At 35.2% G+C, this 27,933-nt stretch overlaps 2 long non-coding RNA genes across 3 annotated transcripts in view, besides 1 other annotated feature; one reads left to right on the top strand and one right to left on the bottom strand.

The window, feature by feature from the left end:
- Window positions 1-27,933, top strand: part of LINC02046 (long intergenic non-protein coding RNA 2046) — a 119,066-nt gene that overhangs the window by 31,155 nt on the left and 59,978 nt on the right. The window contains exon 3 of the long non-coding RNA NR_146712.1: window positions 66-207. This is a non-coding gene — a long non-coding RNA (long intergenic non-protein coding RNA 2046). The remainder of the gene's footprint in view (window positions 1-65; window positions 208-27,933) is intronic.
- On the bottom strand, window positions 39-27,930 carry LOC105374148 (uncharacterized). 2 transcript variants are annotated; one of them, XR_924567.3, is made up of 5 exons: window positions 27,735-27,930; window positions 17,993-18,123; window positions 5,906-6,031; window positions 2,411-2,530; window positions 554-671 (listed from the first exon to the last, which is right to left on the bottom strand). It is a non-coding gene; the product is annotated as an uncharacterized LOC105374148 (long non-coding RNA). The 2 variants fall into 2 exon arrangements; XR_001740955.2 differs by lacking the exons at window positions 554-671; window positions 2,411-2,530 and adding an exon at window positions 39-265.
- Window positions 7,362-7,421: an enhancer, noted in NCBI's record as "active region_20677". NCBI's record gives its function as "activates an Ori minimal core promoter by ATAC-STARR-seq in GM12878 lymphoblastoid cells {active_cell/tissue: GM12878}" and the evidence as "EXISTENCE:reporter gene assay evidence [ECO:0000049][PMID:35858748]".

The following is a 27,933-nucleotide window of genomic DNA, read 5'->3' on the forward strand; positions in this document are numbered from 1 at the left end:
TGACGCCAGATATCTGATAAATTGAATACTAAACAAAGTACCATTTTTAAATTTATTTTATATAGAACAGAAGCTAAAAGCAGAAATTATAAAAGCTGTTACACCTACTCAGCTCTATTACATGTTGGAAAAACTGAACCAGAGAAACAATTACATACACTCTTGTCTTCTGGAAAAGCTGAATTGGGTTTTGGTCTGAATCAATAGGTGAGTTCTCAGTCTTCCCACCTTTTTTCCTTTTTTCTTTTTTATCATGTCCTACGACCTAATGCCAGAAAGAAAAAATAATTTTAGCCTGATTATGAAAGCTTGTATAATAAGTAAACTCTCAGTAACTGGAAGTGTATGAATCGGGTATGGATGATGATGACTAGCAACTTTGTTTAGAGGGAATTCAAACATCAGGAGGCTGATTGGGTTTTGTGATCTGTAGTGTGATAACCAATGCTGAGTTTCTTTTATTCTTTAAAATCATAAAGTAAATTTTCCTTATGTGTTACCATGTTCCAGTTATTAATAAAGAGTAACAAATGACTTTGGTCAGAACCAAAACTTATTGATGTAAAACAATAATTTTATTATACTTGTGAATTCTGTGGACGAGGTAATTTAAACATGGCATAGGGGACATGGCTTTTATCTTCTCCACAATTTCTGCTCCACAATTTCAGCTGTCTCGATAAAATAAAAAAAAAAGATTAATAATATTCTGTGATCACAATGCAAGGAAATAGAAACTAAATCAAAATAAATAATCAAATCCCCATCCAAAATGTCTGCAATTTTAACTCTCTGTGAAAGAACACTTAGACAAAAAGAGAAAAGAGCCCTGAAGTTACAGAATTTTTAGAACATACTTTTAATGAAAATACTATATATCAAAATATATAATTAAAGCAATTATTTAAATACAATACATAGCCTTACATAATTATTTTAATAAAAATGATAAGATAATATTTTCTAACACAAAAGTTTGAAAAGGAACTTTAAATTAAACAAAAGAAAGGACAAAGAGCAAAATTATACAGATAGAAGCCGAAATTAATCAGGTAGAAATTAGTAAAACAGCAAAAATAGTGATGGTTCATAAAAATATCCAGCAAAGTAAACAACTAGCTAACTTAATTTGAAAAAAAAAAAAAAAAAGAGAGCAAGCACAAATATACAAAATAAGAGGTAATGAGTGGGAAATAATCATTGAAACACATGCATCAGCACTAATACACATGTACTGTAAGTATGAGTATTTTTAAAATTCAAAATCTGAAACACTTCTGGTCTCAAGCATTTTAGGTAATGGATACTCAAGTTGATGACACCTTCTCCTTGTATTCTTACAAGGGGTCTCTCCTGGATCTGTTTTATAAGGCCACTAATTTTATCTATAAGGCCTCCACCCTCATGTCCTAATCACCTCCTAAAGGCCCTACTTCCTAATACCATCGTCTTGGGGTTTGGAATTTTAACATGTGAATTGGAGTGGGACACAAACATTCAGACCATGGCAAGTTCAAAACTAGTTATTGAAAATATGCAAATGATAAACATGGCTCAGTCCAATAAAGCTTTAAGTATAGGCACTAAAAATTTAATTTCTTAATAAAGCTTTTTATATGTCCCAAAATATTATTATTATTTTGATTTTTTCCAACCATTTAAAAATGGAAAAATCTCTTCTTATGTTATCCAAAAATAGACAGTGAGCCATAGTTTGCCAACCTCTGGCTTAACCATTCGGTGATTATTATTGCTGGATGGTAGACATCTATTTCCTATTAGATGAAAGACAAGAGAATCTAGTGTTTAGTCTTTTTGATAGTTTATTTTGAACTCAAATTAATTTACAAATTCTGTAGCCATTGGCAAGAACAACTTTTTGATGTGTGTAAAATCTGTTTTAATGTTTGTATTCGCTTTGACCTGCCTGTGACTGAAATTGTAGAACTGAAGCTATATGTTCTCTCTGCATCTGTTTGTCTCTCTTTATATCATTGTCTATACTCAAGCAATGCTTTACCTCTCATGGTTTTCCTGCCTCTGAAAGCTTTTAATAAACTATATTGTTTTATATTTTACATTAAAAGAACACTGATGGGATTGCTTTATGGAGAAAAATAAGTACTTAGATAAATAAATATTTTTTAAATTCCCAGAAAATAAGAAAATTCTACTATTTTAAATGAATTAGACTTTTAAAATCATCTCTCTTACAGAAATTTTTAGCACAGAAACATTTTGGAAAGTGAGACTAGTTTAAATTTTTAAATTTAAAAACAAACAGCTAGAAGCAGGCAGAGCAAGAAAGCTTCAGTGATTATCTCCCCCTGGAAGAACACCAAATTGAACTATCCACACAAGGAAGCACTTTCATAAGAACCAAAAATCAGGTGAACGATGATCATAATACCTGGTTTTAACATCACATCAGGGAAAGAGGCACTAAAGAGGGTAGGAAAAAACAGTCTCGAATTGTCGACACCATCCCTCACCAGTTTCCTGCAGCAGCCACATGATGCAGAGAGAGAATCTGTGTTTGGGGAAGGGAGAGTGCAGTAATTGTGGACCTTGAATTGAAACTCAGTGCTGTCTGTCACAGTGGAAAGCAACACAAGGTAGAATTCCGCTGGTATCCAGAGAGGGAGCATTTAGACCAGCCCTAATGAGATAGAAATCATCCATCCCAGTGGTCAGAACCTGAATTCCAGGAAGCCTTTCCTCCATGGGCTAAAGTGCTCTGGGGTCCCAAATCAACTAGAAAGGCCACAAGAACTGTAATCCTGGGCAAGTCCTGGTGCTATGCTGGGCTCGGAGCCAGTGGAATTGGGGTACTTGTGAACTAGTGAAACCCCAGATGTGGTAGCCGAATGAGTGTTTGCATCACCCCTTCACTAACCCCAGGCAATACAGCTCACAGATCTGGGAGAGACTCCCTTGCTTAGCTTGAGGAAAGGAGAGGGAAGAGTAAAGAGGACTTTATCTTGCAATCTGGATACCAGGCTACCCACAGTGGTATAAGGCCCCAAGCCTGATGCCCCCATTCCAGGCCCTAGCCTCCCAGGCAACATTTCTAGAAACACAGTGAGCTGGAAGAGAACCCACTGACTTGAAGGGAAGGACCCGGTTTTGGCAAGATTCATTACCTGTTGACTAAAGAGACCTTGAGCCTTGAATAAAAATTAGCAATAACCAGGCAGTACTACCATGGGCCTTGGGTGAGACCCAGTGCTGTGCTGGCTTCAGGAGTGAGCCAGCACATTCCCAGCTGTGGTGGCCACAGAAAGAGTCCTTCTGCTTGTGAATAGGAGAGGGAAAGGTAAACGAGACTGTCTTGCAGCTTGGGTAAGAGCTTGGCCACAGTAAGCTAGAGAACCAAGAAGACTCCTGGGGTTCCCAATTCCATGCCTTGGCTCCTAGGTGGTCACTATCTGGACCTACCTAGAGGTGGAGGCTAGAGGGGAGCTCACTGCACTGAAGGGAGAGAGCCAGGCCGAGCAGCATTCATCACAAGCTGACTGAAAAGCCCTTGGGCCTTGAGTGAAAGACAAGCATTAAATGTTTATTATCTACAGATAACAGATAACATGCTGTAGATGATTTTTTATGTATTCTAATGTGTGCCTGAAGGCTCTCCTATAAATTACAGACCGGAGTTTTTGTCTTCACAAAGGGCAGTCTGAGAGCCTGATAGAATGGACTGTACAAGATACAGTAAGCCCCCATCTGCAGTTTCACTTTCCATGGTTTTGGTTACCTATGGTCCATCACAATCCAAAAATATTAAATGGAAAATCCCAGAAATAAACAATTCATAAGTTTTAAATTGTGCACCATTCTGAGTAAGGTGATGAAATTTTATACCATCCAGTTCTATCCAGGCCTGGACATGAATCACCCGTTTGCTCATGCTCAATGTATCTATGCTGTAGATACTACCAACCAGTTAGTCACTTAGTAGCAATCTTCGTTTATCAGTTTAACTGTTGTGGTATATCAGTGCTTCTGTTCAAATAACCCCTATTTTACTTAGTAATGAATCCAAAGTGCAACAGTAGTGATGCTGGCAATTTGGATACGGAAAAGGAAAGCAGTAAATTGCTTCCTTTCAGTGAAAAAGTGACAGTTCTCCACTAAATTAGGAAAAAAACATAGTGTATATAAGGTTTGATATTTTTCATGGTTCTAGGCATCAACTAGGTGTCTTGGAATGGCCCTCGAGGCTAAGGGAGGACTATCGTACTCCAAGTGATACTTCAAAGAATAGACTCTTGGGCGCAAACTCTTGAGCTGGCATTGCTTAGATAACTTTCAGACCACACCATTGACTGAGTCAGGATTTCCAGAACTCTTTTTAGTATACAGGTAAAAGACTTCATGAAATCAGACCACTGAACCAAATTTAGCAAACAAGAATTAATTAAATAGCACAGCGGTCCCCAAACTTTTTGGCACCAGGGACCAGTTTTGTGGAAGACAGTTTTTCGATGGGCTAAGGGAAAGGTGGAGGGATGGTTTCGGGATGAAACTGTTTCACTTCAGATCATCAGGCATTAGTTAGATTCTCATAAGCAAGCAGCCCAACCTAGATCCCTCGCAAGTGCAGTTCACAATAGTGTTTGTGCTCCTATGAGAATCTAATGTTGCCGCTGATCTAACAGGAGGCAGAGCTCAGGTGGTAATGCTTGCTTGCCTGCTGCTCATCTTTCTGCTGTGTGGCCTGGTTCTTAGCGGTCACAGGGTGGCCTGGGGCTAGGGACCCCTGAAATAGCACTCATCGAACTGACTAGAAAAATTTTTTTCTAGTTATTTGTTTAAAATATTGTTGGTGCCATTTTTTTTCTAGTTATTTGAGATATTGTTGGTGCCATTTTAATGCTCTATTTTTTATGGCTATATAAGGAAATCCTGTCTTTTCTTGAGTGACCTTTAAGGCTTAAATTAATAGATTGCTTTATAAATAAAAATGAAACATTTTAAACTTACATCTGCTTCTCAGTGAAACCCAGAATTCAGATACCCTTTGTGCTTCATGGCAATAGAGTCATTTGTATAGATTTTGTAAACAGAAGTTCTCTACATCAGAATTTGAGGGAAAGAGACTTTGTGACAGTGAACAGTTTGCAAAGTGGGAAGATACAGAGTGTATTCCAGAGAACAGAGGGTTTGGGTTTTTTTTTTAATTGCTTTTTGTAGAGCAATTTACAAAAAATTGTTTGGGGGGTCTCACTATGTTGCCTCGGCTGGCCTCAAACTCCTCGCCTCAACCCATCTTCCTGCCTCAACATCCCAAAGTGGTGGGATTACAGGCAGAAGTCACTGTTCCTGGCCAGGGTTTGGATTTTATAGCAAAAGCTCTCATTTGGGTTCCCAATCAGGTTCATTTATGCAGATAAAGGATTCAAGTTTACTTAGTTGTGATTGGTCAATATAGCTGAGTTCTGATTGGGCAATTCATCTCAGCTGTAACTGGTTGATACAGCAGAGCTCTGAAAACTCCCAGATTTAAAGAGGTGCGGGTTTAGCGGGAAGTCAGAGTGTGTGTGTGTCCTGTAGTCGGGAAGTGGCTGCTTGGCTCTATTTTAAATTTAGGCCCAGTTAGCTACTTGGAATCCATCTTGAGGGATTTGCTCTTTCAAGCTCACTTTTGTTCACAGATTGAAACAGAATCTTTCCTCCTTTTAATCCAGAATATAATTGCACAAATTTCTTATGTAACCACGATCTTACTTTTGGTGGCATATTTGAGACAAATTCTCATTCAATCAGTTATGATGAACCACTATTAAAGAACAAAGTTGACTTAATACATAGATGTATGGCTTAAAAAGACCTCCTATGAAAACTGACATGATGCCTGACTAATGCATTCCCAGTCTTATACATAGTAAGGAAGGTGAGCTCTTACCAGGCTGGTAGGTTTAGCAAATCTTGGGAACCTCACAGAAATGGAAATTCCTTTAAATGGTAGAGGTTACAGGTGAAGTTCGGTGGAGAAAGTTTTTGGGGGTTTGATTTACTAGCCCTGTAATACCTGCAACACCAAAAACAGAGGCTTTTAAAAGTCCTATCTGAAATTTCTTATGGAAAATTTCAAACAAATGTTAATTCTGTAGCTTTAGTGGTTGCTTGATACCATATGCCTGTATTTTTGCAAAGCAACTCAAGGAGGCCTTGTATGTTTAGTTATTATTCTTGCTTCACTTATGTGAACCATTATCACAAACCTGAATGAAACAAGCCTTTTTGTGAATAAGAATAACCTCGAGAAAGAGAGATATTATTTATGATCATAAGGGGAGTAGAGTGACTGCCAGGAAGAATTGTGGATAAATTTTTAAATGTCACAGAAGAAACGACTAAATGTCCTTTCAATGGGATGCTGGGCATTACGTAACCAGTCCTCTGGGAATTGTGTAATTCCATGATTTGTGCATGTTTGGTTATCTTTAGATGGGTGTCACTTGTTTCTTGCTCATAGTAATGCAAGTGGTTCATTTTCATGAAAAAGAAAATGAATTTTGACAGGCAAAGATATCTATATATAGATATATTTAACATATGTAATAAATTTAGCATATATATACAAATTTAACATATATGTTAAATTTACTATATTAGATATATAACATATATTAAGATATCTATAACATAGGTATCCTATATATTAATATACATATCTTAATATCTAATATAGATTAACATATATCTTAATATATTATACATCTATTATATATATTTTATATAATATATAAATAAATATTTAATAGATAATCTTTTATCTTTTATCAGAAGTTTTCCTTCAAAAGACACAACAGAAAAAGTGTTACAATTATAATTTTGGAACATATTAGTGCAACACATATGACTGACGATTATTGCATCCAGAATATAATATATAAAGAACCACTGTGAAGCCCTAAGAAAACAACAGCCTCAAAAGTCATTTTATTTATTAGGTATTTGAGGTATGACAATATTACTCCCAAACTCAGCAACTATAAAACAGTAAATACTCATTATCTCACAGATTCCATGGATCAGAAAGTCAGGTGGGTACCTCTGACCCAGGGTCTCTCACAAAGCTGCCATCAAGGTGTCAGGAGATGCTGTAGTCTCCTTCGCAGGCTCTGCTAGGGGAGGATCCACTGTCATGCTATCTCATACGGTGGTTGACAGAATTTAGTTCTTGCCAGCCCATTGAACTGAGAGCCTCAATTCCTTGCAGCTATTGGCCAGAGCCCTCCCTCAGTTTCTTATCTTGTGGGCCTCTCCATATGGTAGCTCACAACCTGAGTCCTGGATTCTCGCAATGTGAGTCCATGAAAGGGTGAGAGAGAGGAAACGGAAGCCACAGTCTTCTGGTAACCTAATCTCAGAAATGACATCTCATCATTTTCTGCCTTGTTCTATTTCTCATATGCAAATCACTAGGTCTAAGTGCTCACTCAAAGGGAAGAGATTACACAAGGAGGCAAAGATCACCGGGGTCCATGTTAGAGGCTGCCTATACCGGTCAAGAGTAGAAATTTATAGAACAAGAAACACAGAGTACATAAACCTATTAAAAAATGTTTAACCTTCTTAATAATAAAGAAAATGCAAACTAAGACCACAATTTCACAATCACTAGTTTCATTTTTAAAAGTAGAAGTCTGACAATACTATATGTTAGCAAGAATTTGCAGAAATGAGGAAGTGATGGGAATGTAAACTGATACTATTTTAGAAAGTAATTTCTCATCACTTAGTAAAGTTCCACTGACTCATAATCTGACTCAGTAATTCTTCTCCCACATATATAGTCTAGAGAAATTGCACGTGAACATCAGATGTTCAAAATGTTCTTAAACACATTGTTCATAATAGCAAAAAACAATTAGAAGCTTAAATAAATAAATGAGTGATGGCAGATTAATACAACAGAGTACAGTACTCAAAACTGCATATATCAATAAATATTTGTGAGGAAATAAAGTCACAGAAAAGAAATATAGTATGATCCAATATAAATGTTCAAAAAAGGAAAAGCTAAGTAATATCTACTTTAGGAATGCATTTACAGTATCTATGGCTACACTATAAAGAAAAGCAAATTAATGTGATTATACAAAGTTCAAACTGCTCGTTCTATGTGTGTGGGAGGGAGGGAGATGTTATGGAAATAGGCTCATAAGAGGCTTTAACTTTTTCTTCAGCTGAGTGATACATACATGAGTATTCATTTATTATTTGGTTATTACTTCTAAACCACACACTTACATCGTATACATTTTCAATGACATGTTTTGCATTTTTAACTAAAATTGATGAATTTCTTTGACATGAAGAATATTGTATATGTCACAGCATCCAGTAAGGATTAACCAAAGCAAGTCATGACTGCATTATACTAATGGAAAAGCATCTCTATAAGGACTTTGTTATAAGGACCCATCAAAGATTGATTCAATAGCTGTTCATATTTTCATGAATGCATTCCCTGAATATAATGGGAATATTCCTGTATTATAGTCACCCTTATTGCTCGTCTTCAACTGTTTTTAGTATGTTAAATATTTCTTTTGTTAAGGAGAGTATACTGATGTTATGTTTCCTAAACTACTTTCTCTAAAGAAGGGAATAAGTAATTAAAGTAACATGATTATCTGAATTTAATATCACATCAATGAACCCCACTTCAGTTCTCTCAATAGTATCTAGTGTTTTTAAATAATCAATTTACGAGAAACAAAAAATGAATGACAGGATTCAAATACGCAAAAACTTAAATGAAACAAGGGAATTCTTCAAGATGTGTTATACACATACTATTTATTCAAATAAATTAGCTTGTGTTAAAAGTAAAATCTTGAAAATAATAATACGGTGTCAGAGCAAATATTATTAAATTAATTACATAAACCAGCACCATGTTTAACTTAGCAAAATATTAGGTCTAAATTATTTGCCTCCAGTGACCCCTGAAAAGGGTTTATATTTGTGGTTTGAATATAAGAAACTTAGAAATGCTAATCATTCCATCTGGAAATTAAAATCTTAAACTGCTAGATTAATGAGTGTTTTCAATGAACTCTAACATGCAGAATAGTAAAGACAGGAATTTGTTTTGATGAAAATAATTAGAATTTTTTAAAAACATTTTCAATACTGAGATTGGATAAATCAAACATGATGCAGTATAATTTAGAAATACATCAATCTTCATTATAAAACAGAATGAAGCTAAATTAATTAAATGATGTTACTAAAAGGAATTTAATTTTTTTTCACAAGTTTGTAAACTTAAAAATGAAGCAACACCAATATATTGAACTTGTTTTCCTTTAAAAACACATTTCTAAATTTACAGCTTTCCTACTGCTTAAGATTGATAAGCAGTAAAACATGGGGTGCATTATGTAGAGACTTTTTACCTTTTTTGTAAAATATTACATACTCCAAACTCTTGTATTAGTCAACCTAACGATTGTTCAGGTTTCATGCAGAACTATGGTCAACTTTCTATATGAGCACAGTGCAAAGCATTTGACTTTCAAAATGTTTTAAACGTTTGATAACTACTTAAAATCTTAAATGGAATTATCTCCAATATCATGTATGTATTGGAGAACACGAAAAAGACATCTTATTCTTTTGTATATAATAAGCTTGGGACTTGAGGGGTGAATAAGACTTACCTGATCCCTTTGCTTAAAGATCACAGTATATTAGGAAGAAAAAAAGACATATCATCAGGCAATCACTTATAATTGTGATTAGTGCAATTGAGAAAGAATAAAGTTGCTCCATACTATATAAAACTATAATTGATGATGCCCAACTTAACCTGGGGAATCCCAGGAGGAAGCTCAGAGTAAAAGAGCAGAAAAAATAAAGGAAAAAGGGATGTCATGGAGAGGGGGAATGTCTCAGGTGGGAAGCATCATGACCTTTCAGGAACTTGAAAGACAGACATGTGACTGGGACACAGAAATATGGAAGAGGGGAATAAAAGGAGGAGGTGGGGAAAGGGAACAGAGTTTGGTTCCTTTTTCCATTTTCAGTCACTATCCTGGTGAGATGCAGGTTACCTTTCCCTTAAGTGCTGTACCCACCTCCTCCAAAATGTTTCTGCTTAAATTCAAACTGCACACAGCTCCCAGAATATGTTTTTCTTAGGCTTATTGCCATTGTGATAATTTATAGTGAAATATTGTACATTGTAATATACTTAATAATGCACATTGGGAGAATATGTAAGAAGTCATTAGCCCCGCTTGATCTTGCTTTCGTGTCCTGCCTCACAAATCTCACTAACTTGAATGTAAATGAGTTAAAAGGCCCACGTAAAAGACACAGAGTGGCAGGTTGCATAAAAAAGCAAGACTCTGTTGGGCGTGGTGGCTCATGCCTGTAATCCCGGCACTTTGGGAGGCCGAGGTGGATAGATGACGAGGTCAGGAGATCGAGACCATCCTGGCTAACACGGTGAAACCCCATCTCTACTAGAAATACAAGAAGTTAGCCGGGCATGGTGGCAGGCACCTGTAGTCCCAGCTACTCGGGAAGCTGAGGCAGGAGATTGGTGTGAACCCGGGAGGTGGAGCTTGCAGTGAGCAGAGATCACGCCACTGCACTCCAGCCTGGGCGACAGAGCGAGACTCCATCTAAAAAACAAACAAACAAACAAACAAAAAACCAAGACTCAGCCATATGCTGTCTTCAAGACACTATTCTCACATGCAATGACACCCATAGGCTAAAAGTAAAGTAATGGAGAAAGATCTGTCAAGAAAATGGAAAACAGAAAAGAGAAGAGGTTGCTATTCTTTCGGACAAAACAGACTTTAAATCAACAATGATGAAGAAGGAGAAAGAAGGGCATTGCATGATGATAAAGGATTCAATTCAACAAGAAGACTTAACTATCCTAAAGATATAAGCACCCAACACTGGAGCACCCAGATTTAAAACAAGTTCTTAGAGATCTATGAAGAGATTTAGATAACCATACAATAACAGTGGGAGACTTCAACATCCCACTTACAGTGTTAGAAAGATCATTGAGGCAGAAAACTAACAAAAATATTCAGAATCTAAGCTTGACACTTGACCAAATGGATTTAACAGACATCTACAGAACACTCCACTCAACAACAACAGAATATACATTCTCATCTGCACATGGCATATACGTTAAGATTGCCCACACACTCGACCCTAAAGCAATTCTCAAAAAAATTTTTTAAAAACTGAAATTATTTATTGATTTGTGTATGAACCAACCTTCCATCCCAGGCATAAACCCTACTTGATGGTGATGGATTAGCTTCTTGATGGGCTGCTGGATTTGGTTTGTAAGTATTTTGTTGAGAATTTTTGCATAAATGTTCGTCAAGGAAATTGGTATGAGGTTTTCTTTTTTTATTGTGTCTCTGGCAGGTTTTGGTATCGGTACGATGCTAGCCTCATAGAATGAGTTGGGGAGGAGTCTGTCCTTCTCAATTTTTTGGAATAGTTTTAGTGGGAACGATGCTAGCTTTTCTTTGTAAATCTGGTAGAATTTGGCTGTGAATCCATCTGGTTGGGCTTTTTGTGACTGGTAGGCTACTTATTACTGATCCCATTTTGGAGCTAATTATTGGTCTGTTTATGGAATCAATTTCTTCCTGTCTCAGTCTTGCGAGGGTGTATGTGTCCAGGAATTCATCCATCTCTTCTAGGGTTTCTAGTTTATGTGCATCAGAGTAGTCTCTGATCATTCTTTGTATTTCTGTGGGGTCTGTGATAACATCCCCTTCATAATTTCTAATTGTGTTCAATGAAGTATTCTTTCTTTTCTTTATTAGTCTAGCCAGCAGCCTATCTATCATTAATTGCTTTTTAAGCAAACTCCTGGATTCATTAATCTTTGGAAATGCTTTTTGTGTATTGATCTCCTTCAGTTCAGCTCTGATTTTTGTTATTTCTTTTATTGTGCTAGATTTGGAGTTGATTTGCTATTGCTTCTCTAGTTCTTTTAGTTGTAATGTTAAGTTGTTAATTTGAAATCTTTCTAACTTTTTAATGTGGGTGTTTAGTGCTATAGATTTCCCTCTTAACAAGGCTTAGCTGTGTCCCAGAGATTCTAGTATGTTCTAGATTTTTTTTTCTTTGGTGTCAAAGAACTCCTTGATTTCTGCCTAGGAATATAGCCAGCCAGGAAGGTGAAAGATCTCTTTAATGGGAATTACAAAACACTGCTCAAAGAAATCAAAGATGACACAAAGAAATGGAAAAACATTTCATGCTTATGGTTAAGAAGAATCAATATTATTAAAAATGGCCATACTACCCAAAACAATTTACAGATTCAGTGCTATTCCTATCAAACTACCAATGACATTCTTCACAAAGCTTGAAAAAAACACAACTATCCTGAAATTTATATGCAACCAAAAAAGGGCAAAAATCGCCAAAACAATCCTAAGCAAAAAGAACAAAGCTGAAGGCGCTACATTACCCAACTTCAAACGTTCCTACAGGGCTGCAGTAAACAAAACATCAGGGTACAAAAGAAGACATACAGACAAATGGGACAGTTTTAAGAACCCAGAATAAAAGCTATACACCTACAATCATCTGATCTCTGACAAAGTCAACACAAATAAGCAATGGGAAAAAGACTTCCTATTCAATAAATGGTGCTGGGATAACTGGCCAGCCATATGCAGAAGACTAAAACTGGACCACTTCCTCACATCATATACAAAAATCCACTCAAGTTGGATTAGAGACTTAAATGTAAAACCCAAAACCATAAAAACCCTTGGAGACAACATAAGCAATACCATTCTGGACACAGGAACTGGTAAAGACTATATAGAACAAAGATGCCAAAAGCAATCGCAATAAAAGCAAAAATTGACAAAGGGCATCTAATTAAACTTAAGAGCTTCTGCACAGCAAATTAAACTTATCAGCAGAGTAAACAGTACAGAATGGGAGAAAATATTTGCAAACTATGTATCTGACAAAGGTCTAATATCCACAAATTTACAAGAAAAAAAACAACCCCATTAAAAAGTGGACAAAAGACATGGACAGACACTTTTCAAAAGAAGAAATACATGCAGCCAACAATATGAAAGAAAGCTCAATGTCACTGATCATCAAAGAAATGCAAATCAAAAACACAATGAAATACCATCTCACAACAGTCAGAAAGGCTATTACTAAGAAGTCAAAAAATAACAGATGCAGAGGTTGTCGAGAAAAGGGCACACTTATACACTGTTGCGGAAGTGGCAATTAGTTCAGCCATTGTAGAAAGCAGTGTGGTGATTCCTCAAAGAGCTAAAAACAGAACTACCATTCAACCTAGCAATCTCATTACTGGGTGTATACTCAAAGGAATAGAAATTGTTCTACCAGCACTACTAACAATAGCAAAACATGGAATCAATCTAAATGCCCATCAATGGCAGATTGGATAAAAAATAAATGTTAATATATATACACCATGAATACTATACAGCCATAAAAAAGAATAAGATCATGTCCTTTGCGGGAACATGGATGGAGGTGCAGGCCATTATTTTTAGGAAACTAATACAGTAACAGAAAACCAAATATTGCATGTTCTCACTTACAAGTGGGAGCTAAATGATAAGGACACATGGACACAAAGAGGGCAATAGTAGACACTGGGTCCTACTTGAGGTGGAGGGTCAAAGGAAGGAAAGTATCAGAAAAAACTAGCTATTGGGTAGTAGGCTTAGTACCCGGGTGATGAAATAATCTGTACAATAAATCCCCATGACACAAGTTTACCTCTATAACAAACCTGCACATGCACTCCTGAACCTAAAATGAAAGTTTAAAAAAGTGTGATACATATACACCATAGAATGCCACAAAGCCATAAAAAAGAATGAAATCATGCCCTTTGTTCCAATATGGATGCACCTGGAGGCCATTATCCTAAGAGAATTAACACAGGAGCAGAAAACCACATACAGCATGTGTTCTCACTTACAGCTGGGAACTAAACTTTGAGAACACATGGAACCAAAGAGGAGAACAACAGACACAGGAGTTTACTTGAGGTTGTAGGGTAGCAGAAGGGTAAGGATCAAAAAACTACCTGTCAGGTACTATGCTCACTACCCAGGTGATGAAAAAATTGTACACGAAATCCCAGTGACATGAAATTTACCCATGTGACAAACCTGCACTTCTATCCCCTGCACCTAAAATAAAAGTTGGAAGAAAAAATTTAAAATAAAAATAAAATAGAAAAAAAGTAATGTGAGAACAACTTAACCATCCATTGAAGAATGAATTGGAAAACAAAATGTGGTATATACATACAATTAAATATTATTTAGACTTAAAATAGAAGGAAATTCTGACACATGCTAGAACATAGATTAACCTTGAAGACATTATGCTTACTAAAGTAAGCCAGTCACAAAAAGGAAAATATTGTATGATTTTACTAACATGAGGTTTCTAGAGTTGTCAAATGCGTAGACACAGTAAGTAGAATGGTAGTTACCAGGGACTAGTGAGGGAGAGATACTGGAGAGTTAAGCATTTGATTGGTACAGAATTTCAATTGGGGAAGATGAAAAAGTTTTGGATAGATGGTGGTGATGGTTTCAACATTATGAATATATTTAATGTCACAGAAACATATACTTAAATTGTTTGAAATGTTAACTTTTGTGTTATGTGTATTTTATCACAATAAAAAAATGTGTTTCATTCTGAATATATTTGGAAAGTAGAGTCCCAATCTGAAGGATTTTATGGGAGTATGAAAAAGAGGTTTGGGGTTAGGGCAAATAAAATTAATAGAGAAGTCAGCAAGAATTGGAGATTTGAGGTGAAAATCAGATGTTGTGTTGTGAGATTTTGTTGAGATTCAAGTGAAATGAACAACTGGATTGTTGTAATTGATTGCTAACTGCTTTTCCAGCTTCTGCTCTGGCCTTAAGGTCTAATCTCAAAACAACAAAAGAGCAAACCTTATAAATTTAAGTCAGAATGTTTACATCAATACTGAAAATCTCCACTAGACCCCCCACCTCATCCACAGTAAAATGCAAAGCTTTAAAGCAGGTCTGCAAGGCTCTGCATGACCTGTCTCCATGTGCCCTCTAACTCTTCACATCACTCACTGCTCTCCAGTCACACCTGACCTCCTCTAGTTTTTCTTGATTACCCCACATATGGTCTCACCTGAGGACTCTTATACTGGCTGTCTCCTCTGCCTGGAATGTTCCCCCCGCCCCCCAATCCCCCTGCAGCTATTGGCTTGTCTATACATCCTTCAGATCTTTCTATTTAGCAGTCTTATTAGTGAGGTCTCACCTGACAGAATATACAATGAAAAGCCTCCCCTTCCTTGTGCCCGGACCTGCTTTATTTTTTGATCTACTACTTACTACCAGATGGCGTATCATTTATTTACATGTTTATTTACTTATTTTCCCTCATAGAGTTTAAGCTCCATAAAGGAAGAGATCTTCTATTTAGTTCACTCACTTATCTCCAATGCATAAAAGAGTATCATATGTGACATCTGATAGCTTCTTTATACATTTGTTAAATAAGTAAATGAATGAGCTTTTTCTGACCACTCTAGGGATGTTTTCAGAACTGATTGTGTACTGCTCTTAATTTGTAGTAAAGAACTGGGACTGCTTGCCTATCTACAGTTTTCTTTAATTATTTATTATATCGTCCTAAATATACTGTATTACTGATTTTACACCTAAGATATGAAACAAGCAGTAGGTATTTACATTTTCAATTGTCCCATAAATGTAACTTTTTACAGTTTTGTTTGAATCAGGATTTAAACAAGGCCCTCACATTGACATTGCTTAATAGGAATTTTAAACATTCCCCTGGATTATTTTTTCTTTTTTTTGGAGGTGGGGGGTGTGGTCAGGGGGCTTACAATGTTGTTGTTGTTGTTGTTGAAGAAACTAGGTCATTTGCTTATTGAGTTTTCCACAGTTTGAATTTCACTGATTTCACCCTCATCGTGATGTTTAAAATGTTGCTCTGTCCCCTGTACTTCCTATAAATGTGTTTAAAAGGCCAGGAGTGGTGGCTCACACCTGTAATCCCAGCATTTGGGAGGCCGAAGTGGGTGCATCACCTGAGGTCAGGAGTTCGAGACTAGCCTGGCCAACATGGTGAAACCCCGTCTCTACTAAAAATACAAAAAATTAGCTGAGTGTGGTGGGGGGTGCCTGTAATCTCAGCTACTTGGGAGGCTGAGGCAAGAGAATCGCTTGAACCCAGGAGGTGGAGGTTGCAGTGAGCCAAAATCGTGCCACTGCACTCCAGCCTGGGCGACAAGAGAAAAACTCCCTCTCAAAAAGCAAACAAACAAACAAATAAAGAAATAAATGTGTTTAAATGTGTTGTTGAGTTGTGACTCAAGGTTTAGACTCAGAGTCTAATTATTATTATTGTTATTTTTGGCAATACCACTTCAGTGGTGGTTAAGTGTTCTATCAGCCAGCACTCAATATTTGGTTGTCTCACTTTCCAAAATAGGTGTTTTTGTTAATGAAATAAATCATTACAGATTCAGTTTATGTGTTCTTTTTTTCCCTCCTTTATTCTTTGGCTGTGTTTCCTTTGTTGGGAATATATTCTTCCCATCCAGGTTTTCATGCTTTAATAATATAGTTATGCATACATAAATAACCTCTTTTATATCAACACAATAACATTTATGTTACTATAAATGGTATCATATTTTATATTGGATACTAAAACTTACTTTTCCCACTGAAAGTTTTTCTCTCAATTATTCAAGTTAAAACATGTTTCTATTTTATCTATTTTAATAGGCATTCAGTATTCCATAATATGAATATGTTATGATATATTTGTTTCCCATTGAATTAATGCTACAATATTTTTGTAGGTACCTGTGTATAGATATAGAATTACTCAGTCCTATAGGAGACATATTTTAAACTTTACTATATCCTGCCAAATTGTTTCCCAGTTCCTGATAACATTTCAAACACCCATCAGCATTGTTTTCCCAAATGCACAGCAACACTTGGCATTGTTAGATTTTAAATTTTTGCCAATCTGATATTTGTCAAATCCTTAACATTTTTGTTTTCCTTTGCATTTCCCTACTAATGAGTTGAAGCATCTTGATATGTTTGTCGGGTTCAGGGTTCTTTTTCTGTAAGTGATCTGTTCATACTATTTTTATCTGAGTTAATTTTTTAAAAATTAATTTATAGGAGTGCTTCATTCATTCTGAAAAACAATCCTCTCAGCTATTGCATTGAAATATGTTTTCCTAGACTTTATCTTGTTCTTTCACTGTGTTTATATTGCCCATTGTCAAAACAACATATTATTTATCCCTCAAAATTTGTATTTTCACAGCTAGTTTAAAAAATGCTTACCTTCCTTAAATTCATAAAAAGTCATCTATATTTTTTGTAAACATTTTAAGTTTTTTATTCAAATTTTAATTGTTTTTTTCTATGATGTGGCATATAAATCTTCTTTTAATTTTTTTCCATATAAATAACCAAAATGTCCTCAAACCAAACATTAAATTTTTTTTCTTTCCCCATTGATGTGTAAAGCCACTTCTGTGGTTTACCAAATTCCCAGATAATGTTGAGTCATGTCTGGGATCTCTACTCTATTGCATTCATCTAATTTTCTGTCCATATATACAGGTGCTATTTATAATTTCAGATAAAGAGATCATAATTGTTTTAAATCTAACAAAAGGCTCTGCTAAACATTAATGGTTCTCTTACAATCGACTTTCTCTATTTCCAACCATCTACCAATAAACTACTCCAGTTTTAACAGATTACTTCATCCATTTGTGTATCCTAGTGTAAATCCTAGCCAACATCCTGGAATTGCTGCAAGCAAACACATTTTATATTCCCTTTCTCTTAGACAAATTCCCCACCTGACATCCTCTTCCCTCCCTCTCCTCCTGGCCTAGCTGGGCCCCACTTACATATTCATGGTTCACATGAGTCCAACACATGTCACAGTTCACCAACTTTCCTGGGTTATTCACTTGGTTTTCTTCCCTCATGAACCTTTTTTTTTCCTGTTGCCTTGTGAATTCTGAAGTACGTGTCACGACTGAAGAAACGATGAACATAATATCACAAATCTGGAAGTACTTATTAAAGGGCATATCTGATAAACATTGATCCTTCTAATTCAAAATTATACAATAGTCAAAAAGAGTGAAGGCAAATTTATCTGTGTAATTTAAATGCAAAAAGTTTAGCAGAAATGAAAATTACTATAAATATTTCCTTTTTAACTGCTTTTAGATTTATCTGTTGGACCTCCTTTCTAGTCTCTGACATTTTTTTGGCCAACTTTGTGCTAATATGTCACCAGTCAAGCCAGCACAACAAGGAAATCCTATTGTTGAAAAAAAAATTAAAGGCTTTAAAATATTGTTGATTGAGGAACATAGAAAACATCATTTAAAAGCCTTTTAAATTACCATTTCCTCCCTTGCTGCTAAATTTCCCTTTGTCTCATTTCACGCAGCTGGTCTGAATGATGACAGAGTGGTTTGTGATTATGTGGGTGACAGTAGGCACTAGCTGAAATGGACACTAAAGGAAGAATCCAGCATCCTGAATGTATAATTCCTACTACGTTTGGCACTGCACCAACTTTACAAACATGCAGCCCTCTTTTCCTCCCTCTCTCTCTCTCTTTTTTTTCTGTAAATCCCATGGCCAATGAATGCTGCTATGGCAACGAAAGCTGGGGAAAGCCAGGGGGGCCTTGGCTATAAAAAGAGTTTTCAGAACATCATGATAACTGGGAGCCCAGTGGCAGACTCTCAGGCAATAACATACTGTCACACATATTGTCTAGAAGCAAACGCTTCTACAAAATTTATTTACCTGTGTTGTCGAATTACTTGCTACTGAATTCTAAGGACTCTTATTTCTATGATGGTTTTCATTTTCAATTATTGTATGGTTCATTCAAATCACACAGGTACATTTCTACCCGTTATAAGACGCTTCCTAAAATAGACTCTTAGAAACTGAGCACAGCTGTCAAAATAATGTTATCATCTTCAAGAATCTGTTTCAAAGATAGTTATTCCAAAGAAATTTAAAAGTTATATTCCTATATTAGCACACTAAGTAGTTCATGCCAGTTTAGTAAATCAAATATTCCATACTGCTAGCTTAATAAGATGGGGAGTCATGCATGAAATGACTGCCAGGTTAATGACATAGGGAGCCATGCATGGCATGTATTTGCATATAATAGCACAGAATGTTCTCCTAAATCCTTTAAATTACTCATCAATTCTTAAACAGGCATTTAACTAAATCCTCATTCAGAATCAGGAAGTTTTTTAAAAAAAAAAAAAAGAAAGAAACACCTATGTATTTGAAGTGATTAGATGGGAGCTAAACAAAACTTAAGGGATTATCTTTGGTTGGAAATTCTAGTCTTGGGAAAGGTTTACAGATCTGCATAAAGAAATAAACACATCTCCAGGGCCAGAGTAGAGGCGAGGGCCAGCAGCAAGCCAGTTTCCCAGCACTGTTTTTATCATATGCACAGTGAGTGTAGACCAGAAGTTTCACTTTTAGCCTCAGGAAAAAAAGGATGTATCTCTAAAGCAGTGCAAAAAATATAGATTACATCTAGAATTGTTTCTTATTTCCAGTGTTTTGATGCACCCAATTGTGAATAAAATGAATGGGTTTTCTTTCACTTGGCAATCTATACATTCAGGGTGTTAAGAAAATATGTAACTGTTTATACAAACTAAGCAGACTGCATACAATCAGTACAGTTATAAACCCCACTGTTACTCAGAGAAAATCAGAAAGTACCCATGTCACACAAAGGCTATTTTCTCTATCTGAAGGTGATGGTTTACAAATAGCTTCATTAATCTCATAAATACTCATTGCAAAATAGGATGTATGTACACCTCTAGAAGCAAAGCATGTCCGAAGAACAAAGGGAAAGATAAAAAATGCATATTTAGGTAACTGGTCTTCTCTTCCTCTCACATCTAGTAATAATGGCAACTTATCATTGAGCACGTTCTCTACCTCAGTGTGCCAAGTGCATTTTCTGTAGCCCTAACATTGACCTTCAGTGTAGTTATTATCTTCATTTTACAGACAGGGAAAGTGAGGTTCATAAAGATTAAATAACTAACTCAAATGACAGTCTGAAGCCAGGATTTGAACTCTTTTGCAATTTCAATCCCATTTCCTTTCCACTAGCTACATTTTTTTTTCTCCAAGGCAGAAATAATTAGCAGCAAATAAACTGTTTCTTCAGTGAATAAAGAAAAATAAGCTCAAGGATTTCTTTAAAAAGAGTGGTCTAGATTTTCTAGGATTCTTATATTGCCATCATGTGCTAATACAGAAGAGATGAATCCCAATACCAGTCACTTCTTATGGCACGGTTACTCTCTCTGGGAATTTTGGTTGTTTTTAGCTGATTAAGATCATAAGATAAATTGACAATGGGGTGCATTTTATGTTAATTAGTATCTTAAAGCACTTCTAAAGCATGGTTCCAGAAATATAAAGCGAAAACCTACTCATTGACAAGAGAGGCAGAAAGTGTATATGTAAATATTTACATATGGTCAATGGGTTGACATAAGTCTATGAAGCAATGTTTTCTTTCAAGTATAGCCTTTCCTTAAGTGTTCATTATGTCTGATTGGAAAATGAGCTCCTTTCTAGTGAAATGGGTAGCCTTGCTGTCAGATAAAATAGTAGCCATAGCTATGACACGTGTGTCTCTGATTAAGGTGGGGTTGACAGTCAGCTGTTGAAACATAAATGATTTGCAGAACTTAATATTCTCCCAATAAACACAACTGTAAATATTTTTTAAGTTGTAAAATGTAGTAACACAAAATTATAAGAAATAGGGTGTTTTCTTTTACTTAAAGTTGCATAGAAAGAAATGCATTTATAAGTGAAGAAAACATAGGTATCTGATATGAGTCAGATTAAGGAGATACAAAAGTAAATGAAGCATAGATTTTTGCCCTCCAGGAGCTCATGTCGAATGGAAAAAAAAATAAACACTGGCAAACATTTAATCTTCTAGATTCTGCAATAAATAGAGACATTGGAGCACACAGAGATAAATTTAGCCCAGGCAGTAGTAGGTGGTAGGGAGAACAAGGAAGGTTTCCCAGGTGACACCCAAGTTGAAAATGACAGGATACAAACGACTTAGGCAAGTGTGGGGGAAGGGAGCATAGTGTGTCAATAAAAGAGTTTAGAATACAATCCAGCCAGGAAATCAGGGAATTACATGTAGCTCAGGTATGCCTGGTAGGGCAATGGTTGTGTCACGACCAGGACAGTGTTCACCTCTAGAAAACTCTGTACTGGCATAAATGCTGAAACTCAGTGCTTAGTTTTGTTAAATGTAGTTACAATGGGCATGATTTTCTGATCCAAAAAATTAGGATAAATTAGGAGGAGACATTTTGTAGAGTGGGATAAACAATTGAGATCTGATGTTTTCAAAAAATTTGCATTGCCTAATTGTTGTAAAAAGAAAGTAAATTTAGGCTGAGTTAGGTAACAAATTACATATAATCTCTGTTTTTGTAAAATCTAGAGATACTTGTTTCTTGTTGGTTTAACTTTAATGTTTTTCCTTAGACTGCAAATAAACGATATTGGGTTACTTATGATTATTTATTTATTTATTTATTTATTTATTTATAACTTTCATTTTAGGTTCAGGGGTACGTGTGAAGGTTTGTTACATAGGTAAACATGTTTCATGGGGGTTTGTTGTACAGATTATTTCATCACCCAGGTATTAATCCCAGTACCCAATAGTTGTCTCTTCTGCTCCTCTAGCTGCTCCCACCCTTCCCTCTCAAGTAGATCCCAGTGTCTGTTGTTTCCTTTGTGTTCATGAGATTTTTTTTTTTTTTTTTTTTTTTACTTTAAGTTCCAGGATACATGTGCAGAACGTGCAGTTTGTTACCTAGGAATATGTATGCCATGGTGGTTTGCTGCACCTATTGTCCCGTCCTCTGAGTACCCTCCCCTCGCCCCCCCAACACCAACAGGCCCTGGTATATGTTGTTCCCCTTCCTGTGTCCATGTGTTCTCATCACTCATTTCCTACTTATGAGTGAGAACATGTGGTGTTTAGTTTTCTGTTCCTGTGTTAGTTTGCTGAGGATGATGGCTTCCAGCTTCATCCTTGTTAGTACATGATCTCATTTTTTATGGCTGCATAGTATTCCATGGTGTATATGTGCCACATTTTCTTTATCCAGTCTATCACTGATGGGCATTTTGGTTGGTTCAATGACATTGCTATTGTAAATAGTGCTGCAGTAAACATATGTGTGCAAGTGACTTTATAGTAGAATGATTTATAATCCTTTGGGTATATAGCCAGTAATGGAATTGCTGGGTCAAATGGTATTTCTGGTTCTAGATCCTTGAGGAATCACCATACTGTCTTCCACAATGGTTGAACGAATTTACATTCCCACCAACAGTGTAAAAATGTTCATATTTCTCCACAGCCTCGCCAGCATCTATTGTTTCTTAACTTTTTAATAATCGCCATTCTGACTGGCATGAAATGGTATCTCACTGTGGTTTTGATTTGTATTTCTCTAATGATCAGTGATGGTGGGCTTTTTTTTTCAATGTGTTTTTTGACCACGTAAATGTCTTCTTTTGAGAAGTGTCTGTTCATATCCTTTGCCCACTTTTTGACAGGGTTTTTTTTTCTTGTAAATTTGTTTAAGTTCCTTGTAAATTCTGGATATTAGACCTTTGTCAGATGGGTAGATTGCAAAAATTTTCTTCCATTGTGTAGGTTGCCTATTCACTCTGATGATAGTTTCTTTTGCTGTGCAGAAGCTCTTTAGTTTAATTAGATCCCATTTGTCAATTTTGGCTTTTGTTGCAGTTGCTTTTGGCGTTTTCATCATGAAGTCTTTGCCCATGCCTATGTCCTGAATGGTATTGCCTAGGTTTTCTTCTAGGGTTTTTATGGTTTGGGTTTTACATTTAAGTCTGTAATCCATCTTGAGTTAATTTTTGTACAAGGTGTAAGGAAGGGGTCCAGTTTATGCATGTCTTGCTTGCTTTCTTCCACTCATGTATTAATTTTGGTTACGTAATAACCACCTGGAAAACCTCAACCCCCAAACAGAATTGGTGACCTAGATAATCTACATCTAATTTTACAGTACTCTTCACCAACCTACTATCCTAAATCAGGCAGCAATTATCCTGACTCTTTTCATCATTCTTCAGCTTTCCTGTTTAGATAGTACTGTTGCTTCTAAAGTTTATATACATAAACTTTATGTTTGTGTGTATTTACTCATATATATATTTACTATTTTATATATTTTTACTGTTTATATATTTACTGTAAATATATAGAGTAATTTTAAATTATTTTTATCGTGATAAAAGGCTAATAAACATCATGTAATTCTTTGAGAATTAACTTTTCATTTAACTATTGTATTACCATACTGCTAAGATTAATTCATAATTTTTTGTCACTGTATTTCATTCATTTTGACCATTATATATTATTCCATTGGGTGTGAATATATGAATCTACCACATTTACCCTGTTTATGTGCTTTTCTGTTTTTCCAGTTTTTGCCATTGTGAACAGTGCCACTGTGAATATTTTACATGTCTTTGGTTAAACATGTGCACAAGTACTAGATTTATTTTGTTTATTTACCTAAGGCGTAGAATTACTGAGTCATGGGGTAGGTAAATGTTGTGCTGTGGTAATGCCAGATTGTTTTCTAAATCACTGCATCAATTTATCCTCCAAAAAGTAGTGTATAATAGGTACTGTGAATCTACAACCGTTCCAACACTTGATATTGTCAGAGTTTACAATTTTTGCCAATTAAATGGGTATAAAAATGTATCCTATTGCATTCTTCCTATATATGTCCCTCATCATCAGGGATTGTTACTTTGTGTTTTATTGAACACATAGGTTTTCTCACACATATGTTTGGTGAAATATCTTGCCCACATTTTCTTGGATTTTTTTGAGTTCTTATTGGCATAAGAATACTTCATGCCTTTTTGATGCCAATTCTTTGACAATAGTGAATATTGTAAATACATTTTCCTAGTTTGAAATGTCTTTTCATTTTCTTCAAGCTTTGCTTTTATAACCAAAAGTTTTTACTTGGAAAAGTTGCAGTTATTAATTCTTCCTTTTATGGTCAATTTTTTTCCGTTTTATTTTATAAATATTTCCCTACCTTAAAGTTTAGGAGAAATCATCTATATTTTTCTATCAAGGATTAAAAGTATGAAATTGATTTTTGTATATCATGAGAGGTAGGAATTCAGTTTTTTCATGTGTATACTGTTTTCCCAGCTTTATTTATTGAAGTTCTTCCTTACCCACTTTTCAGACGCAATACACCTCTCGTGTATGAGTTCCACACATGTGTGGGTCAACCTCTGAGCTCTATGTTATTCTGTTAGTCTAACTGTCTATCTCTGCAATAGTATCACACTATCTTAATCACCATAGCTTTATCAAAAGTCCTGTTATCTAAATAATAAGTCCCCCCTTCATGCATATGCTCTCAGAATTCTTCTGGCAATTTTTCCCTTTAATCTTCTATATAAATATTATAAATGGGTTATCAAGTTTCTTTTTTTTAGATTTTAACATGATTTGCCTTAAATCTGTGCATCAATTTGAGAAAAACTAACATTTTTAAGATATAAAGATATAGTCATGGTATATCTCCCCATTTATTTAAGTATTTCATATTTTTTAATACAGTTTTGTAATTTTACTATGGAGGTCTTAACATCATTTGTTAAGTTTATTTCTATATACTTATTATTGTTCCTTGGTTTTATCTTTATCTTTGCCCTTGATGTTCTTTGGTGAACCAAAAAGCCTTAATTTGACATAATCAAGGTAATTAATTTTTCACCTTTCTCCTTTTGGGTTTTTGTTAAAGTGTTTTACGACTCTAGATTGCACGGATACTTTTCTACATTATATTCCATTCTCTTTGTAGTTTTATGTTTCTTATCAGTCTTTAATCTAGTTGTAGTACACTTTTTCTATATTGTTAACTAGAAATTCAGTTTTGTTTTTTCTTCACATAATGATCTAGTAAAAATAGTTCATATTTCCTGCATGGATTTGTGATGACACTTTAATCACATATTAAATTTCTGTTTATAGAACAAAATAGTGACATTGATTTATTTAATTTTTCTTTCTTAAGTTTTTATATCTACTTTCTTATTGACTGCAAGATATAAGTGATTGACAAGAATCAAAATATACATTTAAAAAATGTTCAAGTGACAGAATTGTACATATATAGTTTACAACACGATGTTTTGAAGTACATACACATTGTGAAACAGTTAAATCTAGCTAATTAACAAATATATTGTCGCACAGTTATCGTTTTCGTGGTGAGAACACTTAACCTCCAATTTTTGCATTTTTCAAGAATTCAATGTATTGTAATTAACTGTAGTCACCATGCTATGCAATAGATCTCGTGAGCTTATTCCTATCTAACTATAATTATATATCCTTTAACCAACATCTCCCCATCCTCCTTTTCCCCTGACTACCCCAGCCTCTGGAAAAGACCATTCTACTCCCTGCTTCTATGATATTAGCTTTGTTCAGCTCCACGTATGAGTAAGATCATGTAGTATTTGTCTTTCTGTGCCAGTCTTAGTTCACTTAACATAATGCTCTCTAGGTTCGTCCATGCTGATTTTATTTTTTATGGCTGAATAGTATTTCACTGTGTATATAGGTGAAATTTTCTTGATCCATTCATCTGTTGATGAATACTTAGGTTGATTCCATATTTTGATTATCACATATCTCTTTGACGTACTGATTTCCTTTCCTTTGGATATACACCCAGTTCTAAAATTGCTGGATCATATGGAAGTTTTATTTTTAATTTTTTGAGGAAACTCCAGACTATTTTTCATAATGGCTGTACTAATTTACATTCTCAAAAACAGTGTGTAGGGTTCCCTTTTCCCCACATCTGTTCCAACATTTGTTATCTCTTGACTTTTGACAATAGCCATTCTAACAGAAGTGAGGTAATATCTCGCTGTGGTTTTGCCTTGCATTTCTCTGATGATTAGTGATGTCGGGCATTTTTTCACACACTTGTTGGCGATTCACATGCCTTCTTTTGAGAAGTGTCTATTCAGATATTTTGCCCATTTTTTAGTCAGGTCATTAATTTTCTTGCTGTTGAACTGTTTAAAGTTTCTTATATATTTTGGATATTAACCTCTTATCGTATGTATGGTGTGCAAATCCTGTTCTGTGGATTGTCTCTTCATTCTGCTGGTTGTTTCCTTTGCTGTGTGAAAGCTTTTCAGTTTAGTTGTTCCATTTTTCTATTTTTGCTTTTGTCGCCTGTTCTTTTGTGGTCACATCCAGAAAATCATTGCCCAAACCAATGTCATGTAGCTTTTCTCTTAGATTTCCTTCCAGTAGGTTTCATAGTTTCAGGTATTACATTTAAGTCTTTAATCCAATTGAGTTTTTGTTGTATATGATGAGAGATAAGTGTCTGATTTCATTCTTATGCCTGTGGATATTCAGTTTTCCCAATAATTTATTGAAAAAACTGTCATTTCCCCATTATGTGTTCTTGGCACCTTTGATAAAAATCAGTTGGCAATAAAATTTCTGGGCTCTTTATTCTATTCCATTGGTCTGTGTGTCTATTTTTATGCCAGTGTCATGCTGTTTTGGTTATTACAGTTTTGTAATACATTTTGATATCAGGTAGTGCTATGGTAGTGTGATACCTCCAGCTTTGTTATTTTTGCTAAAGATTGCTTTTGCTATTTAGGATCTTTTGTGGTTCCATAAGAAGTTTAGGATTTTTTTTCTATTTTTGTGAAAAATGTCATTGGTATTTTGATAGGGATTGCATTGAATCTGTAGATAACTTTGTGTAGTATGAACATTTTACAATATTTATTCTTCTGATCCATGAACACAAGATGACTTTCCATATATTTGTTTCTTCAGTTTCTTTCATCAATGTTTCATAGTCTTCAGTGGAGATTTTTCACCTCCTTCATTAAATTTATTCCTAAATATTTTATTTTTTGTAGCTATTATAAATGAGATTGTTTTCTTCATTTCTTTTTCAGATAGTTTGCCATTATTGTATACAGACATTACTGATTTTTTGTATGTTGATTTTGTATTCTGCAATCTTGCTGAATTTACTTATTAGATTTAACAGGTTTTTGATGGAGTCAGAACACACGTTTTAATGACACCCATTATAATGAATTATCTATAAAAAGAGTTATGTGTTTTCATTTATAAATGACATCTCAGATTAGTTAATAATGTGGCCTCAACTTGTTCTCAAGAGTGTCATTTTAAAAAATTAGGGGTGGTGAAAATTAAGCATTTATGAATATAATCACATCTTTGACCACTGAGCACTTTTGACCACTTTCACCATTTGGGACACCTGAGACCAATGGAAGCCAAATCTCCCACTACAGTTTTGAACGGTTACCCATTCAAAATGATGGGAGCTCCTAAGCTTAATACTCAGTACTAAGCAAGTTAAAAATATCCACACATTAAAGTGAAATCTCAGAAAATCAAGGGAAAAGAAGAAAAACATTACATAGAAAGGAGAAACAACTTACCAGATTCCTTATAATCAACAACGAACAATTGAAGGTATTGGTGCAATATTTTGTAAAGTGTTGAGGGAGAATTAACTTTGTAGCTAAATCTCTATAGTTTCCGAAACTCATTATTCAAAAGTAAGTATGAATGCTCGGCCTGATGGCTCACGCCTGTAATCCCAAATCTTTGGGAGGCTGAGGCAGTTGGACTGCTTGA

Source organism: Homo sapiens, chromosome 3 (genome assembly GCF_000001405.40).
Source record: "Homo sapiens chromosome 3, GRCh38.p14 Primary Assembly".
In the NCBI taxonomy this organism is placed as follows: domain Eukaryota; kingdom Metazoa; phylum Chordata; class Mammalia; order Primates; family Hominidae; genus Homo; species Homo sapiens.